The 22,629-nt window shown below is 38.9% G+C and overlaps 1 annotated feature.

Moving 5' to 3' along the window:
• Window positions 21,566–22,233: an enhancer, noted in NCBI's record as "OCT4-NANOG-H3K27ac-H3K4me1 hESC enhancer chr4:11150486-11151153 (GRCh37/hg19 assembly coordinates)". NCBI's record gives its function as "activates a minimal SCP1, AML or CMV promoter by ChIP-STARR-seq in primed H9 embryonic stem cells {active_cell/tissue: H9 hESC(primed)}" and the evidence as "EXISTENCE:reporter gene assay evidence [ECO:0000049][PMID:30033119]".

Below are 22,629 nucleotides of genomic sequence, written 5' to 3'. Positions count from 1 at the left end.
CCGCTAGCAAGACTAATAAAGAAAAAAAGAGAGAAGAATCAAATAGACACAATAAAAAATGATAAAGGGGATATCACCACCGATCCCACAGAAATACAAACTACCATCAGAGAATACTACAAACACCTTTACACAAATAAACTAGAAAATCTAGAAGAAATGGATAAATTCCTCGACACATACACTCTCCCAAGACTAAACCAGGAAGAAGTTGAATCTCTGAATAGACCAATAACAGGAGCTGAAATTGTGGCAATAATCAATAGTTTACTAACCAAAAAGAGTCCAGGACCAGATGGATTCACAGCCGAATTCTACCAGAGGTACAAGGAGGAACTGGTACCATTCCTTCTGAAACCATTCCAATCAATAGAAAAAGAGGGAATCCTCCCTAACTCATTTTATGAGACCAGCATCATTCTGATACCAAAGCCGGGCAGAGATACAACCAAAAAAGAGAATTTTAGACCAATATCCTTGATGAACATTGATGCAAAAATCCTCAATAAAATACTGGCAAAACGAATCCAGCAGCACATCAAAAAGCTTATCCACCATGATCAAGTGGGCTTCATCCCAGGGATGCAAGGCTGGTTCAATATATGCAAATCAATAAATGTAATCCAGCATATAAACAGAGCCAAAGACAAAAACCACAGATTATCTCAATAGATGCAGAAAAAGCCTTTGACAAAATTCAACAACGCTTCATGCTAAAAACTCTCAATAAATTAGGTATTGATGGGACGTATTTCAAAATAATAAGAGCTATCTATGACAAACCCACAGTCAATATCATACTGAATGGGCAAAAACTGGAAGCATTCCCTTTGAAAACTGGCACAACACAGGGATGCCCTCTCTCACCGCTCCTATTCAACATAGTGTTGGAAGTTCTGGCCAGGGCAATTAGGCAGGAGAAGGAAATAAAGTGTATTCAATTAGGAAAAGAGGAAGTCAAATTGTCCCTGTTTGCAGATGACATGATTGTATATCTAGAAAACCCCATCGTCTCAGCCCAAAATCTTCTTAAGCTGATAAGCAACTTCAGCAAAGTCTCAGGATACAAAATCAATGTACAAAAATCGCAAGCATTCTTATACACCAACAACAGACAAACAGAGAGCCAAATCATGAGTGAACTCCCATTCACAATTGCTTCAAAGAGAATAAAATACCTAGGAATCCAACTTACAAGGGATGTGAAGGACCTCTTCAAGGAGAACTACAAACCACTGCTCAAGGAAATAAAAGAGGATACAAACAAATGGAAGAACATTCCATGCTCATGGGTAGGAAGAATCAATATCGTGAAAATGGCCATACTGCCCAAGGTAATTTACAGATTCAATGCCATCCCCATCAAGCTACCAATGCCTTTCTTCACAGAATTGGAAAAAACTATTTTAAAGTTCATATGGAACCAAAAAAGAGCCCGCATCACCAAGGCAATCCTAAGCCAAAAGAACAAAGCTGAAGGCATCACACTACCTGACTTCAAACTATACTACAAGGCTACAGTAACCAAAACAGCATGGTACTGGTACCAAAACAGAGATATAGATCAATGGAACAGAACAGAGCCCTCAGAAATAACGCCGCATATCTACAACTATCTGGTCTTTGACAAACCTGAGAAAAACAAGCAATGGGGAAAGGATTCCCTATTTAATAAATGGTGCTGGGAAAACTGGCTAGCCATATGGAGAAAGCTGAAACTGGATCCCTTCCTTACACCTTATACAAAAATCAATTCAAGATGGATTAAAGATTTAAACGTTAGACCTAAAACCATAAAAACCCTAGAAGAAAACCTAGGCATTACCATTCAGGACATAGGCATGGGCAAGGACTTCTTCATGTCTAAAACACCAAAAGCAATGGCAACAAAAGACAAAATTGACAAATGGGATCTAATTAAACTAAAGAGCTTCTGCACAGCAAAAGAAACTACCATCAGAGTGAACAGGCAACCTACAAAATGGGAGAACATTTTCGCAACCTACTCATCTGACAAAGGGCTAATATCCAGAATATACAATGAACTCAAACAAATTTACAAGAAAAAAACAAACAACCCCATCAAAAAGTGGGCGAAGGACATGAACAGACATTTCTCAAAAGAAGACATTTATGCAGCCAACAGACACATGAAAAAAATGCTCATCATCACTGGCCATCAGAGAAATGCAAATCAAAACCACAATGAGATACCATCTCACACCAGTTAGAATGGCAATCCTTAAAAAGTCAGGAAACAACAGGTGCTGGAGAGGATGTGGAGAAATAGGAACACTTTTACACTGTTGGTGGGACTGTAAACTAGTTCAACCATTGTGGAAGTCAGTGTGGCGATTCCTCAGGGATTTAGAACTAGAAATACCATTTGACGCAGCCACCCCATTACTGGGTATATACCCAAAGGACTATAAATCATGCTGCTATAAAGACACATGCACACGTATGTTTATTGCGGCATTATTCACAATAGCAAAGACTTGGAACCAACCCAAATGTCCAACAATGATAGACTGGATTAAGAAAATGTGGCACATATACACCATGGAATACTATGTAGCGATAAAAAATGATGAGTTCATGTCCTTTGTAGGGACATGGATGAAATTGAAAATCATCATTCTCAGTAAACTATCGCAAGAACAAAAAACCAAACACCACATATTCTCACTCGTAGGTGGGAATTGAACAATGAGATCACATGGACACAGGAAGGGGAATATCACACTCTGGGGACTGTGGTGGGGTGGGGAGAAGGGGGAGGGATAGCATTGGGAGATATACCTAATGCTAGATGACGAGTTAGTGGGTGCAGCGCACCAGCATGGCACATGTATACATATGTAACTAACCTGCACAGTGTGCACATGTACCCTAAAACGTAAAGTATAATTAAAAAAAAAAAAAAGAAAATAAGACATTGAACTGAAGATGTAAAGGGATACTTGCAGTGTCTGCATTGATGCCCAGTTCCCAGGACAGGAAGGCTGTAGGATTCAGGAATGAAGTGAGGCTGAGTCTTAGCTCAGGGGTGCAGTTGGGATGAGCATTTCTTGCTATGCTCCCTGGGGAACATGACTGTGGCTGCAGGCAGCCAGGCAGGATAAGGGTCCATGTAAGCTGAGGTCTCTTCAGGTCTGGCAGAGACAGTAGGATGAGCCTCTACAGAGGAGGCTCCCCAGTCCCAGAAGGCATCTTCACAACAGCCCTAGTAGGATAGCTGTGAAGATGAAATGAGCCAGCGGTGAAGGCAGCATTTTGTGAACTGCACTGTCAATTCTGCATACCACCACCTCTATGTTAGGGTATGTAATGAGATCATTTAAAATACACACAGCCAACCACTCTTGAGCTGTATTCTGTTTTGAGAGGGTTCTCAGTATTCCCCGTGTATTAACTCTCATAATATTAAACTATGACTATCGATGCTGTTATTTAACACTATTACCCCCACTTGATATGAAAGACAGGAAGATTGAGTAACATGCCTAAGGCCAGTGGTTTATGAGTGGGAGTACTGGGTTCCATCCCAAGCCATCTGACTCCCAGCTGAGATCTTTTCCTTGCTGCTTATCCCGTAATAAGCCTATGAGTGGCGTATTATTACTCTCAGCTTACGAATGAGGAAACTGAGTCCCATGGAGTACTTTTAATTAGCCTAAAGTCGTAATGCTGTTTAGAAGCAGATTCAGGACTTAAACCAAGGCTCCAGCATTCTGTCTTTGAGAGAAAGATGCCTCTGGTGGAAGATGACATGCTCAGCAGCTGCCCAAACTTGTAATCCTAGCATTGCATATACACATTTGACGTTTGGAGATAATTCCCTTCCACTTCGTGTGTCTTGCATCATTTCATTCTGCCATTAACCCCAGCTGCATAATCAACTTGAATGGGTAGAGTGAAAACCTTTTGGGAAAAGCAGGTGATACTGAAATAAATACAATGTTTTATATTTATATAATAAATTATGCTTTTTTGAGGTGCCTTTTATATCAAATTTTCTACACCATTTGGTTCTCTCAATACCTGTGGAGAATAGCTGGTTGCTTTTCAAAAGTGCACCGGATTTAGATTTGGATCTGATTGAATCCCAGTTCAGCCTCTTAAGAGCTCAGTGATCATAAATAAGCCCCTTTCATCACTTGTGTCAAAGACTCTCCTTTAGAAAATAAGATTAATATGGCCAACTGATATGGTGGTGAGAAATGAATTAAATCAGTATTGATTGAGTGTAGTTAGAGATGAGGTATTTTCACATAGCTTCATCTGTTCAGTGAGTATCTATCAAGTTCCCACTGTGTGCTGAGTGCCAGCACAGACAATCCTCATTTTAGATGAATTAGGTTTAAGTGTAATAGATGGAAATCATTGGCTCAGGGGTGCATCAGACTCTAGGGTAGTCTTAGACAAGTCATTTAGAGTTTCTGGATCTCCAATTCTTGCTCCTTAAAAACAAAACAAGACTCTTGCATCATTATTAGCAGTTTTCAAATTGTGTTCCATGTGTCCCAAGGATTTCACACATGTTCCTTGGGAACCTCCCTCCCATTAAAGATGGGGCAGGGGTCAGTTTCCAGCAACACAAGCCCTCCTTCAGATGTAGCTGCTGTCCATAAGGAATAAATACACATATACTGTTTGGCCTGCAATAGTATGTGTTTTTGTTTTAAATATAGCTGAGTTTACAAATGTGTGCGTGTGTGTGTGTGTATGTGTGTTGTGTGTGTATGTGTTTAATTCATTTTCTTAGTTAAAGAAAAACCAAATGACTACCACACAAAGAGTATGACATCGTAAAGCCGATGAGAATTTGCCTTCTAGCCATGTGACCATAATATGTGTTTAACCTCTCTGAGCTTTAACTTCTACATCCATAAAATGAGATAATGCTGTCTCATGGAATGGTAATAAGACTTAAATTGAATTATCTTTTTTAAATGCCTTTGCTCAGGGCTTTGCTAAATACATGTTAATTTATTTCTCTTCACAGCGTCTTGGGGAACAGAAGTACTTCAGTGCTTTGTTCTCTGGGTCTTTAAATTTGACCAGACCTTTAAGGACTTTTTTGTTTATGATTCACCAAAAAAAATGATTCTACTTTCTACCTATCTTTCTTTATGAAAGCATGGTCTGATTTTGACATTTTTAGTCTGAAATATATTATATTTATAACACTGAAATATATTATATTTATATATTTATAATTCAAAACACATCTTTACATTGAAATACATACATATACACACATATACACACACATATATAATCACTTTTGAAAAACTAATACATAATTAGGGTACTTTAAGCCAAATCAGCATTTTATGATTATTAAAGACACCATTTCAGGGTGTCATACAAACACCATTTATCATTTTATATTTTGATGTTTAGGATTTAATAGGTCACTCAAATACCTACTATCTGTCCATTTAATAGGTGATTCGGAAGACTCTTACTGTGCTCACAGCATCAAAAAGGTATGTATTAAGGTCTACCAAACCCCTAAAGCCTCCATTACCTTGCAGTACAATTCCCATGAGTGTGCAGAGAGGTGGCTGTTACACCAAAGTTTGAAACTTTTTCAGCCTCCAGTTTGCATTTCAGGGCAATTTTTGTTTCTTTTCACAGTAAAGCTGCTTTCCATCCTTAATGCAGTGAAAAATGGGCATTAAAGAAAGATACTCTTTCTAAATAAAGTAAAATGGAGAAAGTACAGAAGGCATTTATTGAAGGATGAAGAAGCATTCACTTGGGGAGATCGCTAGGGTACTTAAGTGATGCTGCCTTTGATTAAAGCGACGCTGTCAAGTGAGTGAGCCTGGGGATGAGTCAGAAAATCCAGCTCCTAGCACCGGCCCTGCCTCTTAGTCACTAAATGACCCTCTTTCGTCCCAATCTTTTCATCCTACTTGCAGGGCTCAGCTCAAGAACTGAAGTGAGAATTCACTGGGATAATGAATGTAAAATTGTCCAGAAAATGTTAAAAGCATAATTTAAAAAATACATGGAATTATAATTATGTACTTACACTTGAGTCAAATTTAAGAAGCTTACTAGTTTTGAGTGTAGCTTATGAAGACTGACAGATCTCTGTGAAAATTCTAACCTAGACATCTCATAGACTTTATTTTTCATTTTTAACTGAATTGTTCTAAGAATTTTTTTTCTCTCCTACAAAATGGGCATAATAAAAACACCTACTCAAGAGAACCAAACAATGAAATGATTGCCTAATGCCTAGCCCAGTGGCTGGAACAAAATAAACCCTTAATAAAAGTAGTGAAAAGAAAATGACAGCAATGGTTCAGTCAAAATATCAACCCAGACAAATAAATGAATACGAAATTCCACTTTTCAGGGTATTTTAACCTGGACTCTTGGGCCTAACACACCAAGAGTTAAATGCGTACGTAAAAAACTAGTGGACATTTTTATTGACTGCTTTCATTGAATGCATTAGATTAGTTTAATTTACTGTCAGATAATATATTAGCAGCTGGTAAGTTTAGTTAAGAACATCAGATAAGTTTGCATGTTGACTCAAAGTGTCAATCAAGGGTTTGCCAAAGGCAAACAAACAAATAAAAAAAAACCCTAAAATATAAAAAGCTCAACAAAACTGTGACTTTCCATATAAAGCCAAAATAGTGGCTCCATGAAACATTGCTCTTTTGTGTTTCTGAAAGAATATATAGTGGACTTCATATCAGAAAAAAAAATGGTGTTTATCACATACATTCTCTGAGCTTTTGCCATGGCTCCAATAATCTATCTCACAAGATACTTCTGAGGAATTAAATTGGATATTGTGCAGGAAAGGAATGGGAAGAAGGCAGTTTTTCTCAGTTGGATGAGCCCAAGCACCTATAGGCCACCAAGGTGCACAATAACTAAGATATTTGTTCCTCACTCCATGGGTAACTCATTGGGCAGTTTCTGAAATGGGGAAATCAACACATAACCTTAACGAATTATCAAGGGCAGTAATAGACCGCATTAAGATGCTTTTTAACCCAGTTTGAAAAGCCTTTCTGGAAGAAATACCTTCTGAATTCTGAATGGTAAAAAATATTTAGCCAGGTAGCAATGTGGTAGAAGCACACCAGCAACAAGATAGGAGGATAGGAAACATTCTCAAGTTAAAAACCAGGAAGTATGTTTCTTAGTGAGAAGGGAACAATGGAAGATGGAGTAAGAGAAGTACATTCATTTGATTGTACTCTAAGTTGTTTCTTTTAAGCATGAGAAAAGAAGTTTAACCAATGGGCAGAAACATATGTCATTGGCAAACATACTAGATGCACTGCACAATCATCAGGTAGCCAAATATAGTCAAATAGACCCATTTTCAAGATTTCTGAAATAAGGGAATTCATGTCACGCCTTCAGGGAACCAAATACATAGCAACTCTTTCTGATTAACACACATTGATGCCCTCTGATGATGGAACAACAGATTTGCCTTTATTCTTGGGTTTGCCTTCACTTTGCACCTTAGATTGGATCCTTGTAAATTCAATGGGGAATCCAAAGAATGATTGAAAGAAAAATAGGATCTGAAGGGTGAGATGCTGCTTCTTATATTAGGGTGATATAATATATATATATATTATATTAGGTGTGTATATATATAATTATATATTGTATTAGGTGTGTATACATATATAATTATAATAATATATTATATTATTTAAATAATAAATAAATATAAATTAATAATAATATAATGTGATATATTATTTAATAATTATAATAAATAATAAGTAAAATGTATACATAATTATATATATGCACACACCTAATATAATATATATATTAGGGTAATATACGAAGCAGATATCTCACCCTTCAGATCCTATTTTTCTTGTAACCATTCTTTGGATGCATTCAATTTCTCTTCCTGACAGAAAGAAAACAACGAAAGAAGTGCAACTATAAAAAGGAACTCTACCATTTCCTAGGGTCACAGGCCAGTGAGAAAATAAAGAAGAAAAATTGTTCAAGTTCCTTTTGAGAATGGAATCGGTTAAATTACAGTGATAGAGCTGAAGCCAGTAGGCTTACCTGCCTTGTTTCCTGTCCTCTGTTAATTCTCTAAGCCCATCTGGACAAACATGACTGCAGTATAGGTTTGGCTTGAGCCCTACGGTTCCCATGAGCTACCCTGACTTGTACTCCAGCATTGACCCTGTTCTTAATATTCCACCTTAGTTTCAAAGCTCGCATCTTGAACCTCAGTTCTGTTCAATTTTCCTATGTTGAAGTCTCACTTTTCTTCCATATTCATTTCTCTCATTTTCCTGATTCTGAGGCCAAATAATTTTACCAATAATTTTAGTCCTTAATTTTCAACCTTGGAACTCCAGGACTATGTGGGATGGGAGATAGCGTTGCATCTGTCTTTGTTAATGTATAAGGAGTTGTTTCCTCACATGAACAAGAAACGTGCTGAACAGTCTATGCAAAGATATGAAGTATCAGGGATCATGATGATTTCAGGGAACCTTTTGTAAATTAATATGCCTCAAGGATAATGGACATGAAGAAGAACTGGTAGGATGTTGTTAAGAAAATGGTTGGGATTACAGAGAACTTGAAAAAAGGAGAAAAGTTAATGTATTAGTCCGTTTTTATGCTGCTGATAAAGACACACCTGAGATTGGGTAGAAAAAGAGGTTTAAATGGGCTTACAGTTCTACATGGCTCTTGGGGAGCGGGCTCAGAATCATGGCGGAGGGCGAAAGATACTTTTTACATTGCAGGAGCAAGAGAAAATGAGGAAGACGCAAAAGCGGAAACCTCTGTTAAAACCATCAGCTCTCATGAGACTTCTTCACTGCCACGAGAACAGTATGGGGGAAAACGCCCCCGTGATTCAAATTATCTCCCACCGCATCCCTCCTACAATATGTGGGAATTATGGGAGTACAATTCAAGATGAGATTTGAGTGGGGACACGGAACAAACCCATATCAGTTAACATGCTAACACAACTGACTGGGTGAGAGATAATGAGGACCTGAACTCAGGTAATAGCAGTGGAATTTGAAGGAGAAAATGATGCAAGAGTTATTTAAAATATAAAATCCATACAACTTGTCAGTTCATTGGCTAACGAGTGAAAGAAATACGGATGTCCCCTATGTCTATCACTGTCCTATGCAGCAACTTTCTCTCCCACACTGATAACTCCTCCAATCACATGGTCACATGGGGGAGGGATGGAATCCAGATTGACCAATCTGAGCACCTTACCTTGCTGGGCTTGAGTGGCAGGAGGTTTCTCAGGCACAGCCAGTACTGCCATAGAATTTCTGGAACAAATGAAATAATGATCTGTTATTTTCTATTTGAAATTTAAGCATGAATTAACCCCAGAACTACCATTTGACAACAGACTGAGAACAAAGTCAACCCAGAGAAAATCAGAGGCAAGAGAGAGGAGAAGAGCAAATGCTTGATGATATTATTAGAATCCTTAAGTCTAGCTGTGTCAGAAGCTGTAATCAAGCTAGACAGACCAATAAATTCACTCTTTGCAAAAGCCTTTTTGAATCGTGTTTATATCACCTAAAAGCAAGAATCCTGACCTATACAATGGAGAAACTAAAGATAACTCTGAGGTTCCCAGCTTGAGCATTTGGGAAAGAGTGATAAGATAATGTTACTGCCTTGAGGACCACATGCAGAGGAGAAGGTCTGAGTGAGAGCACAAGTTCTATTTGAACTTGTAGCAGTTGAGGGATCCATCAATAAGGCTAATGAGCAGCATGCTATTTTGACTGTGAAACACTCACACAGGTCACATGACCATGAAATGACCAAGGAAATGATGAGTGCTAAGCACAGGTGTAAGTGCAATAAATCTAATTCCATCGCATTCTTGCTGATTCAAGAAGAATTGCATCGTGCAAGAAGGTAAAAGTGGAATTATCAACAGCAACCTCACCGAGTTATCTATTTCAAATTCATGATTCAATACTCTCAAATAATTAAGCATTAATAGTGGTAAATGATTCCAGTCACACTTCACGACTGATCGCAATATCTGAGAATGGCCCAAAGTGTATGCTTCTTCATATGGGGAGACACGGATTTGGAGACAGGACAGAGCTTGAGTTGGAAAGTTTTGGAGTAGGCTTCAGGCTTTATAAGTGTTGCTTCAGCTGCTGTGACCAAGAATAACTCAAGCAACAACATGAAGCCCCTAATTCTAAGTGTAATACAAGTAGCTTTCCTCTCCCCAGTGTGTTCTATTGATTGCAGGCAATATGTAATTACCTTCTGAGATACACTTTTCCCATCTTAACTCCCTCTACATGTGAAATGAACTGTAACAGACAAATTAGGTTTTTCTTTCTTTCCCATCACCTAACTTTCTTAGCTTTTTTTCTGATTTGATGATTCTCTCCTCCTCCCAATGTAGCAATACAATTGAGGATTAATGGTGTGCTACAAGGCCAGACAGAAATAATATGAAATCTAATGCAATATACAGAGCCCTACTAGAATAAAATGCCAGATCTGAAATGGCCTCCTGAAATACCACATCTCAAATCCTTATCTTAACTATTAGGAAATAGAGAACCCAAAAGCAGATGAACCATCTGAGTCAGCCCCACTCCTTGTTAGTTACAGGGTTGCACAATTATTTCAGGTCTCTTGACTCCTGGTTCTTTCCATCACCTTAAGATTTGCCTCTATGTACTGAATATATTGTACTTTATAGGCATTTTACATGTTTTTTTTTGGTCATACTAACAGCCCATCTTGATACAATTTGTTTCCATCAGATCATGTGTATCCCCAGCTTAGCTTTATTCTGTTATCCCATCCTGGACCATCTTTGCGGCAAAAATGGTACATCAGAGGATGTATTGGCTACATTATCACAGACATACTAGACTTTAATTTCCAAAACCAGGGGATCTCAGCCAGTGTACATTTTAGGCACACAAATTCAGGTATTTCTGTATTTAAATAGTTCTTATAGAATAATAATCATCTTTTACATTTGCAGAGAAGTTTACAGTGTGTAAAGTACACTCAGGGAACCATTTAGAAGTCATAATTAGGTAAGATTTCTAGGTGCAAAAGCTTCTGTCAGAGAGCAGACCTGGAACACCTGTTTAATTTGTTTAAGCAAGAGATGCTGCTTCATTTTTCAAAACAATTTCACTAAAGAATATTGAAACAAGAATAAAAAATATAAAATGCCATCCACAATCCAATCACCAAGCAAAACTACCATTTCTTATTTTTCCATGTTTCTCTTTTGAATTGGCCTACTCTGTGTGTTTGTGTGTGTGTGTGTGTGTGTGTGTGTGTACACACATACTCATTTATGCATTTATGTTTAAATTCAAAAAAATGACTCCATATCATTTTCCCTATTGTTACACTATATTTATAATAATCTTGGTTACTTCTTGCTCAGTATTCAGAAGAATGGATATGATAATTAAACACACTTTTTCTCCATTAATGTTACTTTTTTGCAACTAGGAATGAAATAGGGGCAGGGTGAAAGGTTTCCAATGCAATTGTTGTTGTTGTTGTTGTTGTTATTTTAATGAAAATTGAATGAAAGCAGTAACTGGGGAAATAAATGAAGACAATTCAAATGAGAACAAACTGTTTATTTAGAACTTGCTCTATCAGAGAGTCAGCCTTGTCCCTTGTATTTGGTACAGGCTTAAAGGCACAGAAGGTAATAGAGAAGCTTTACAGTGAAAACATGGGAAGACTTCTGGTACATTCAACTGAAGGTTGGGAAAGTTGAATGTCAACTAGAAGCATGTGATTGGTTTGGGGAGTGCATTTGCCTTCCTCTGGTTGGTCCTGAGTTGGAAATAGGAACAAAAATTAGGGCAGCTGGCAGTCCCTGACCAAGTTCTTATTTTTTGAGCCAATTTCTATAAGGTTGTGGTTTGGCTCCCAGAGCTGGTTGCTGCAAGGAATTAGGGGTCAGAGTTCTATGGTGAAATAACATCCGGCTGTTGGCCATTTGTGTTGTCAATCTCTCACTGGATAAAATTCAGCTTGATTGCCTACTGCCAGAATTAATCTCAGAAGTAGTCTCTAAGTCTGGGTGTGAGCAAAGCCTAAATGTCAAAGAATGCCATTGTAGTAAAATAGAATACCTACAATAAATTCCTATATTTACATATTAACAGCTATTTACTGAAATACATTTTATTAAGAATTGTTATTCAGCCCAAGTTCCTAAATAGTGACCAAATGAATCCTTTAGTGATTTGCCAGTTTCTGATAACATAAATATGTTAATCAATTAAATTGATCCAGACTTGGTCTGTGCTGTTTTTTCAGGCAGCCTCAAACACTAACTCAGCTACCAGATGGCTCAGTATATTTTATTCTGGAGTCAGTTCATAGTTTTAGCTAGGTAATTGTTTGCCATTAATCCCACTTTAGATCTTGGATTTGCAGTATTTCATTCTGTATACTTCTTTATGTCATAAATAAATGTAATGTTAAATGTACATTTGAAAAATATATAATTTATGCATGGGCAAATTACAAATAATCATAAAGTGTGTGAAATCAAAACTCAGGTTAAGAACTAGATTAAGCTAGTATCTTCAAGGGCTCTGCAAGCCCATTCCCAGTTTTATTCTTCTCTCTTTCCCCAGAGGTTATCATTATTCTGATGTTTTGGGAAATGAGTATTCGTTGTCTCAGGACTGCCTGTTATATTTTATCTCTGATCTGCGATTCTTGCTCTGTCTATGTACTTCTATAAGACTGTTTTGTTTAGATATCCTGGTCCTTCCAAAAGGCTCTATTATTTCTCCCAGGTGAGGTTTAGTGGGGACAATCACTCATCAATGGAGCAACCCATAAATTGAAGAGACACAAACTTATTAGATGTGATGGTGCCTTCCCTCACGTCCATCTATAGGTGGTAGAAACATGTATCTTAATAAAGTCAGCTAGTCAAAATATCAGAGGAAATTATAGGATATATAACCACTGTCCCTAGGTTTTCTTTTAAACTAATTCAGGTTTCCTATTCTGAGCCTCACCCTGAAATTTTTCCATATTCTGTGTGTTATGATAGTAATGGTGGCATTATTTTTTTTTGAAATAAATCTGTCTCATTATAGCAGATATTGCAGGTATTATTATTTATTCGGTTGCTGAGGAAACTCAGATAAGGCAAACGCTGACCCAAGGAGGCACAACTACAAATAGGAGAATTAAATTCCTCTGTAGACTTCTAATTTCAAAAGCTATGCTTGTTGTTCTTCCTCCTAAAACATGGTACATTCCAATATATATCAATAATGTAGGAGAAAAAAAAGCTGTCTTATAGCTATTGTCCTTGTTTGAACCTGAAGGAATAAAAATTCTAAATACAGGCTTTGATCTACAATAGCTAGAACGTGAACTATCAATTCCTAATAAATTGCTTTAAAAAGTAGTATTTCATGGAGCTAGTATCACATTCTCCATGAATGCCCATACACCATCAAAGAATTAGCTTCACATTTGTCTATTGTTTATTAATTCATCTTTTGACAAACACTTAATAGCCATCTATAGAACATGCAGAACATAAATGATTAATACCATTTTGCAAAAACATAATTCATGCTCAAAGGGAACTGATTTCACTAACTTATAGAGCAATGCAAGTGCAGTCTTACCAGTCAGAGCTCCTCTATGAGCACAATGATCCCCTCTATTTTCTACAGCGTGACTGAAGACGTGGTCATTTTAGCCTTTATTAGTGCTTAAAGCAGAAGCTGAGCAACAGAACCTGTCAATGTCAAGCTTTGCTTGATTGGAATTATTTTTTGGGGGTAAGGAATATACATAACCATTCTTACAAAACAAACTAATATGCAACGAGAAAATTCAAGTCAAGATAGAGTAAATGTTGCTATTTTGGCTATTCAATCAGTTGAATGAACCCAGCAATCAACAATGCTAACTTACCACTAGTATGTTTCTGGCTCAACACTGTACTCTCATAAAATATAAAGAAAGGATAAACTTTATCCCTTGCTTGGAGGAGTTTAAAAATCTTGGGAGAACAAAATCATACACAAGAAAAATAATGCAGCATAGAAATTTCGGTTCTTAGGATAAGTGTTCTATAATATATGTACCCAATATTTGTGACACACTTTTGGGCTGATTTGGGCCCCAGGGCTGTGCTATGGGCTTTGTATTCTCTTTTGGAAACTGAGACTCAGAATAGATGATCAACTTACCTGAGATCCCACAGTTAATCCGTCCTGGAGATTGGTATTTTTAATTTGTAACATATATGGACATCTCAAGCTAGTGTTTATAGTAAGGATATATCCTACTTCATTATTCTAGTTTTGAGCTTATATTTTGGAGGGATTGGGGTTTTGGCACAACACATTAAAAAGAAAAAGAAAAAGAGTGCACAGGAAAGGCGTGGGATGTGTGTATGCCTCCGCAATAGGAAAATTCTGTGCCTGGCTTCTCACCTGAAAGATGATATTCCCATGCTTGCTGGCATTTGACAAGAGAATGGTGAGTTTGTAGCATTGACAAATCAATTGGAGAACACATCTTAAGTAGGATGTAGGGGAAAAATAGATTTTTCCTGGTTTACTTTATCAGACACCTTTTTTACATAGAGGAAGAGGTCACTTCAACCCCCTTCTCATACTGCTTTCCGAGTTTTCAATACGTTTCTCCAGTAGCATCCTTGTATCTTAAAAGTTGCAAAGTTTTCCATGTGACATTATTCTAAGAACAGAGTGTAAGATGTAACTGTTTTAGTAACATTTTGCAGCAGATCAAGAAAGACTTTGATGTCCCCGTGGTTTCAAAACTCAAATAATACCAACTGTATTCTCTCTCTCTCTCTCTCTCTCTCTCTCTCTCTCTCTCTCTCTCTGGCTCTCTCTCTCTGGCTCTCTCTCTCTGGCTCTCTCTCTCTGGCTCTGGCTCTCACTCTCTGGCTCTCACTCTCTCTCTGGCTCTCACTCTCTCTCTGGCTCTCACTCTTGCTCTCTTGCTCTGTGTGTTTCTGTGTTTTCCTGAGCCACATTTGTATTAATCACAAGGTGCTGATGACTCCACACATATTCCTTTGCATGGTATTCAGCTGATTCAACTGATACTTTTAAGAGCCCAGTCATATATCAAATGGGAAGAAAAAAGAGTTGATAAAAATAAATTTCCCACTGTTGATAGCCACAGCTTTAGATCTCTAAAAATTGTTTCTAGCTCTAAGGTAGCGTTACTTCAAAGAGAGGAAAATCACCCAAATGGAGTAGAAAAACTTCAGCTCTTCCTGAATCACTCTTCAATCAAGGGAAAAGAAAAGCATCTACATTGTTAATCGGGGAGGCGGGGTGCTGAAGAAAAAAACAAAGTTGCATGAATTTTTACAGCATGTTTGTTAGTTCCTTTTGGACACAGTGCTTCAGGAAGCCCAGCCAGGTGATGATCCTAAACCCTGAGCAGATGGTCTTTAAAATGATCATACGGATTTTCTTTCATAATGAATATCAAGAATCCTATAGGATTTACAACAAAAACTGTTCATACATATGAAAAGACAGATGTTTCTTTAGACGCTGCTCAATGTTTCTTTGGCTGAAGCCAGGAAGAGTCATTAGCTATGACTTCATTTTCAAGCAGTTGAGTTATGTGGGACTTTAGTCTCAACTAATCAATGTCAAAACACCTTTTAAATGGAAATTATTTTTTCTCTGGAGTGGAGGATGGAGGGCATGTGTTTAGGTCAGGGAATTAAATCTGCTTTTGCATATATTTTTTATTGTTGCACAAGACTTGGGAAATCTGTTAGGCTTCTTTTTGCAATTCTATGTCAATGAAGCAAGACACTGTTCAAAACAAAAATTTTCTGCCTAATGAGCAGTGCTTAGACTGGTGACTACACAGAGAAAGAGTAAATTTTATGGTTTGGATATGACTGAATTTTGAGTGCTGCTTTGGAGGGCAGGAGTCTGAGTTCTAATCTGGAATCTATCACTGTCTAGCTCTGTTGTGAGTTTAGGCAAGGCACCATCTTTCTCTGAGTTCATAGTGATCAACATCAAAAGAAACCTAGAGTAATTCAGCATATGAAAAACCTAACTCCCCAAATCACTTGAAGAGTTTTTTTTAATGTGTTTGCTAAGATCCAAACCAGCAGTACAGAATCAGATTCTTTGGTAAGAGGGTTTTGAGAAGCTATAGCTAAAAACAAAAACAAAGCTCCCAAGTGATTTCTAATTTTCTCACCTATAAGAGAATGGGACATGTATTTTTTTCAAAGTTGGATATATGCATGGATCTGTTTTAGGGTAGAATATTATTGACAGTGGTGCTCATGATATTCCTAAAGATAAAAACAGCTTTATTATAATGTTAATTTTAAAATTCAGAATATGAATATGCATTTGTATTATAATATAAAGGAATGGGTTTTTTTTCTTCTTCCATTTCTTCCTGCCTTTCTTCTTAATAAGGAATACTTTAATGCCAAACATTTCATGCAATTTATTTTCTTAAAGAAGCTTCAAAGGGTTGAAAATCATCCAAATGGAGTAGAAAAACTTCAACTCCTCCTGAATCACATTTCAATCAAGGGAAAAGAAAAGCATCTACATTGTTAATAAGGGTGGGGAGGGGGTGAAGAAAAAAAGCTTTACTAGTTCAATTAGAGGAAAGAGTTATGAACTTAGGAGTTAAAAAGCCCCAGAGTCCCCAGATCAGGTGAAGAAGGTGGTCACCCCGAGGACACAAAGTGCCAAAGTTCCTGAGCATGTCTGAAATACCATGGTGACCTTGAACTTGCATTTTGATGCCATCCAGGGAGACAGGAAATAAAGCCCAAGTCCAGTACACAGTAGGCATCCTAACAGGAGAACTCCTAAACGTGACATCCCAATAAGGCTAAACCTTCCTTGGAAGGGTGAATGTTAAATGAACCTTGCACTAAAGGGGTCACCTGCTTTCACGTTGGCCAGGAGCAAGAATAAATCCTAACAATTTATTATCACGAAACTCCCTTAATATAGGTTTCTAATAAAACATTTTACTGCATATGTCTTGTCACAACATCAGTCTTTTAATTCAAAAAGATATATCATTGATGTCTCCCAGATGGCTGACTTCAACTAATTCAAAATCTCACTGAAGCAGTGGAAAGAGGCACAAAGGGTACAAATGTTCAGTTATAAAGTGAATAAGTTGTTGAATTCTAATATACAGCATAGCATGGTGGTTTTAGTTAATAATGTATAGTTGCAAGCTAAGAGAATAGAACTTGAATATTCTAACAACAAAAAAAAAACTATGTGAGCTGATTGGTATATTAATTAGCTTGATGTGGTAATCATTTCACAATGTGTACATATATCCTTATGTTGTATACCTTCAATATACATAATTTGTATTTGTCAACCATACCTCAGTAAAGCTGGAAGACAATGGGAAAAGTAACATTCTCAAAGAAGTTAAAGATCTAAAGAACGTAAACACACCAGTTTGCTCTCTCTTTATCCCTCTATCTCTCTTTATCTCTCACATCTGCCCACGCACATATGCACAGCCCTTTTCTCTCTACTTTCTTTACTTTCTTATATGCACTGCCTCTGTTTTTTTTGTTGTTTTTTTTTTTTAATAATCTCTCTCAAATCCTGTTATCAGTTCAGGATTCTAATGAAAGAGAACAAGAAGAGTGGCTACTCTTTGAACATTTGTTTTACTGTCTTTCTTTATGACACTTTGGAGATAAAGTTTTCCCTTTAATGCTTGAGAATGCAAAAATTTTTACACCAGGAAAAGGCACTCTTGTAAGGAATGGCATATATAACATTCATCTGATGGAATGATAAACGTTAGTGTGGGTTCATCTTCCAGTTTTACCTTCCCCCTGCTGCATCATATGAGACAAGCCATTTTCAGTCTGTTACAGAAATAAACCAGTAGCGATGGCCCCAGTGTATTAGCCCCAAACTATCCCCATATTGTTTACATCTTCACAGCAAGCTAGGACAATTAGCTAAAGCCTACTGATGTTAAAACTAAAATTTGTACACACCCAGTTTCTTCAAATATAGTTCAAATAATCATATTTTTAGCCATTTAGAGCCTACCTAGTTTGCACGCCCTGCAAAACTACACTCAACATCTGCTAATTACAGATAAGCAGATGACCTTTGTAGCTAAACCCTCAATTGCTGCCTCTTTTTATAGCTCTTTCACTCAGAGATTCCGCAGTAGCTGCTGAGACAAGAACATCACTTAGGTGAGCTCCCTCTATGATTTTCTCCTTTTCCTAAAGAGATCCTTTTCTCTATTTTGCTTCTGGGTGTGGCTTTGTGCCATTGCCTCTGGAAGATGTCTTGGTGGAAGGGACTCTTTCATGCAACTCTATGCAAGCACAGCCCAACAAAGCAATGTTAGTGCCTCTCATATCCTTGTTTTTCCCTTGATCAATGCTGGAATCCTTGAATTTAACCTAGCCTTATTTGAAAATGATGGTATATTATTTATCCAACAGCGATGTTTGGAAAGAGCCTGGCATCACACCTGATATTTAATTGAAGGTCATTAAATGTGATGCTCTTCTCTTAGTAATGGGTCCATATGTGGTGTCATTTGCACCACAGAAAGAAAAGAGGAGTGGCAATTATTCTGTCATTTGAGAAGGCCTTGTCAAAGGCTGGAGGAACAGAGCTTTAGAGATGGACTGGGAAGTTTTGATTCGTTGTTTTTTTGTTTTTATTTTTTTTACAAATAACTTCATCAGAATCTATCAAATATTTATATTACTTAGAGCTTTGAGGACACAACCCTAAAGAGGCTAAACTTCATTCAGTTTCATTTTCCATAAGATGAAAGTTAGCATCAAATTTGAGAGAATGCTTCTTGATGGGACAGGATACAAGAAACATTTTCAAAATACAGATTAAAAAGCAAGTTGGGCTGGGTGTGGTGGCTCATGCCTGTAATCCCAGGACTTTGGGAGGCCGAGGCGGGTTGATGGCCTGAGGTCAGGACTTTGAGACCAGCCTGGCTAACATGGTGAAACCCCGTCTCTACTAAAAATACAAAAATTAGCTGGGCGTGGTGGTGGGTGCCTGTAATCCCAGCCACTCAGGAGGCTGAGGCAGGAGAATCGCTTGAACCTGGGAGGTGGAGGTTGCAGTGAGCCAAGATTGTGCCATTGCACTCCAGACTGGGCGACAAGACCAAAACTCCGTCCAAAAAAAAAAAAAAAACAAGCATATTGAGTTCTCTCTTCCATCTAATGGTAGGAAGAGACAAGTAAACAAGCAAAACAAGCAGTTATATTGTTGCTTGCATGGGTTGTGGCAGCGGAAGTGCCAGATGTGTCCAAACACAGAGAGTGAGAGCTCATTCAGAGAGGGGTGTGCCCAAAGCACACATCACCTCGGCTGAACAACCGAAAATGTTTCTGCCCTAAATTATTAAAGCCAGATGTTTGTAGTTGTAACAAGTAGTAGCTTACTAGGGTCAAAAGCCCACTTCCTCTTGAAAGTGCTGTTACCTGGCCTGTATTACTGTGTGGCCCCTATATCTCCATGGATATTAAAAAGCTCAGTTCCATGACAGCTTTTCTACTGTTTGCTCTGACAGAAAGACAACAGTCACCACTAAAATACTTAGAAATGTCACTGCCTCTCTCCCAAGCACAGCTTGTGGCCTTGAGGAGTGGAGTGTATTCCAGGATCTCCATGAGGATCTTCTTGTGAATCTTCTAGATTTATGTGACCTCATCATTCCACTATGACAATTTCTTTCAGAATGTTTATCCTTCAGGAACCCTGTTTTGTTCAGCATGGGGCATCATTTTATCCTGGCTTCTGAGTTCAACTCTAGCAGATGCTGATGTGTTTCCACTATGTCCCCACCCAAATCTCATCTTGAATTGTAGCTCCCATAAATCCCACGTGTTGTGGAAGAGACCTGGTGGGAGATAATTGAATCATAGAGACTCTTTCCTGCATACTGTTCTCCTGGGAGTGAATAAGTCTCTTGAGAACTGATGGTTTTATAAGGGAAACCCTTTTCACTTGGCTCTAATGCTCTCCCTGCCTTTCATCATGTAAGATGTCCTTTCACCTTCTGCCATGATTGTGAGTACTCCCCAACCATGTGGAATTGAGTCCACTAAACCTCTTTTTCTTTATAAATTACCCAGTCTCAAGTATGTCTTTATCAGCAACATGAAAACAAACTAATACAGATGGTTTGCCACATACTTCGGGGTCCTTGCCAAAGAGTTCAATCTTATATTGTGAGAGTGCTCTCAGTCAATGCATTTTTGCTCACCCAGGCTTGTGTTTCAATCCACCTGCTTAAGCACTCTCAAAATCCAGTTCCAAATTTCCAGGATCTGGTCCAGGATGCAAGGGGCTGAGGTGATACTACTCCATCCTGACCAAAGTAAAACCTGAACAAACTGAAAAGGTTAATAATCTTTAGAGCCATCAGAAAAACTGAGGTCACAGGGCAAACTGCTCTTCCCCAAACTGGAGAGACAGACAGCAGCATACAGAGAATCGCAACTTGCCAGAGCATAAACCATTTTTTGGAAGCAGCACCAGTAAGGCAGGAAAACCTAAACTTTAATTGACAAATCATCCTGGTAGGCAACTCTAAGAGTTAAAAATGCCAGGGGGACCAAAACATAGAGATGTCCCCTCACTTTTGTGACTTTTATCTTCAGGAGCTCTACCAAATCCTCACAGTGAATACCAGAGAAATATTCCCTCATGATTCCAACAGAGGGAGAGGAAAGGGAACCATTTAGAAAAACAGAAGAGCATTCTGTTCTTAAGAAGAACTGCCCTCAGGAGAAACTTTCCACCAGAGCCTAACCTGCTGTTGTTTTATCAGAGCCTAGCCTACCTGAGAGAAAAGTAATACCTAATCCCAGCTTCCTCTAGCCATCCTATCTTGCCTAAGGCAGGGAGGAGCCTGCACAACACTGGTGAAGTTCACAGTGCATAGGCTCACTATAAAACTGAAACCTAATCACAGAACTGTAGTATGCTGCTGCTCCCCCAGCAGTTCTCATTATCCCTCCATAGACATCCAGGACTTAGTAATAACCCACACCTCCTCTGTTTTTGTATTTTTTAGCTAAATCCCTTTCCAATATCTGCATCATTGCACACACAAGGGTGTGCCCCTTCACATCACCACAAAGGACATATTTAGCAATTGATAAATCTGTCTGTGCTGGGGAGTTTCCCCGATGCACATACCCCTCAGAACAGAGGCCTCTTTGCTGGCTAAGCAGTGAGTGAGTAATGCAGCCCCCAATCTCCATCTCACTGCCTCCCTTCTCAAACCACTTTCAGTATCAACACTGCAGGTCCTCCAAGAAGCAACACCAAGATGCCAAGACAGAATTAGATAGATAAGAAATTTCTCGGGAGGAGCCAAGATGGCCGAATAGGAATAGCTCCCGTCTACAGCTCCCAGCGTGAGCAACACAGAAGACGGGTGATTTCTGCATTTCCATCTGAGGTACCCGGTTCATCTCACTAGGGAGTGCCAGACAGTGGGCGCAGGTCAGTGGGTGCGCGCACCGTGCGACAGCCGAAGCAGGGCGAGGCATTGCCTCACCTGGGAAGCACAAGGGGTCAGGGAGTTACCTTTCCGAGTCAAAGAAAGGGGTGGCGGACGGCACCTGGAAAATCGGGTCACTCCCACCCGAATACTGTGCTTTTCTGACGGGCTTAAAAAACGGCGCACCACGAGATGATATCCGGCACCTGGCTCGGAGGGTCCTACGCCCACGGAGTCTCACTGATTGCTAGCACAGCAGTCTGAGATCAAACTGCAAGGCGGCAGCGAGGCTGGGGGAGGGGCGCCCACCATTGCCCAGGCTTGATTAGGTAAACAAAGCAGCCTGGAAGCTCGAACTGGGTGGAGCCCACCACAGCTCAAGGAGGCCTGCCTGCCTCTGTAGGCTCCACCTCTGGGGGCAGGGCACAGACAAACAAAAAGACAGCAGTAACCTCTGCAGACTTAAATGTCCCTGTCTGACAGCTTTGAAGAGAGCAGTGGTTCTCCCAGCACGCAGCTGGAGATCTGAGAACGGGCATACTGCCTCCTCAAGTGGGTCCCTGACCCCTGACCCCCGAGCAGCCTAACTGGGATGCACCCCTGAGCAGGGGCACACTGACACCTCACACTGCAGGGTATTCCAACAGACCTGCAGCTGAGGGTCCTGCCTGTTAGAAGGAAAACTAACAAACAGAAAGGACATCCACACCAAAAACCCATCTGTACATCACCATCATCGAAGACCAAAAGTAGATAAAACCATAAAGATGGGGAAAAAACAGAACAGAAAAACTGGAAACTCTAAAAAGCAGAGTGCTTCTCCTCCTCCAAAGGAACGCAGTTCCTCACCAGCAACGGAACAAAGCTGGATGGAGAATGACTTTGACGAGCTGAGAGAAGAAGGCTTCAGACGATCAAATTACTCTGAGCTACGGGAGGACATTCAAACCAAAGGCAAAGAAGTTGAAAACTTTGAAAAAAATTTAGAAGAATGTATAACTAGAATAACCATTACAGAGGAGTGCTTAAAGGAGCTGATGGAGCTGA

This window comes from Homo sapiens, chromosome 4 (genome assembly GCF_000001405.40).
Source record: "Homo sapiens chromosome 4, GRCh38.p14 Primary Assembly".
Classification (NCBI taxonomy): Eukaryota; Metazoa; Chordata; class Mammalia; order Primates; family Hominidae; genus Homo; species Homo sapiens.
This window is presented reverse-complemented; position numbering and strand designations above follow the sequence as displayed.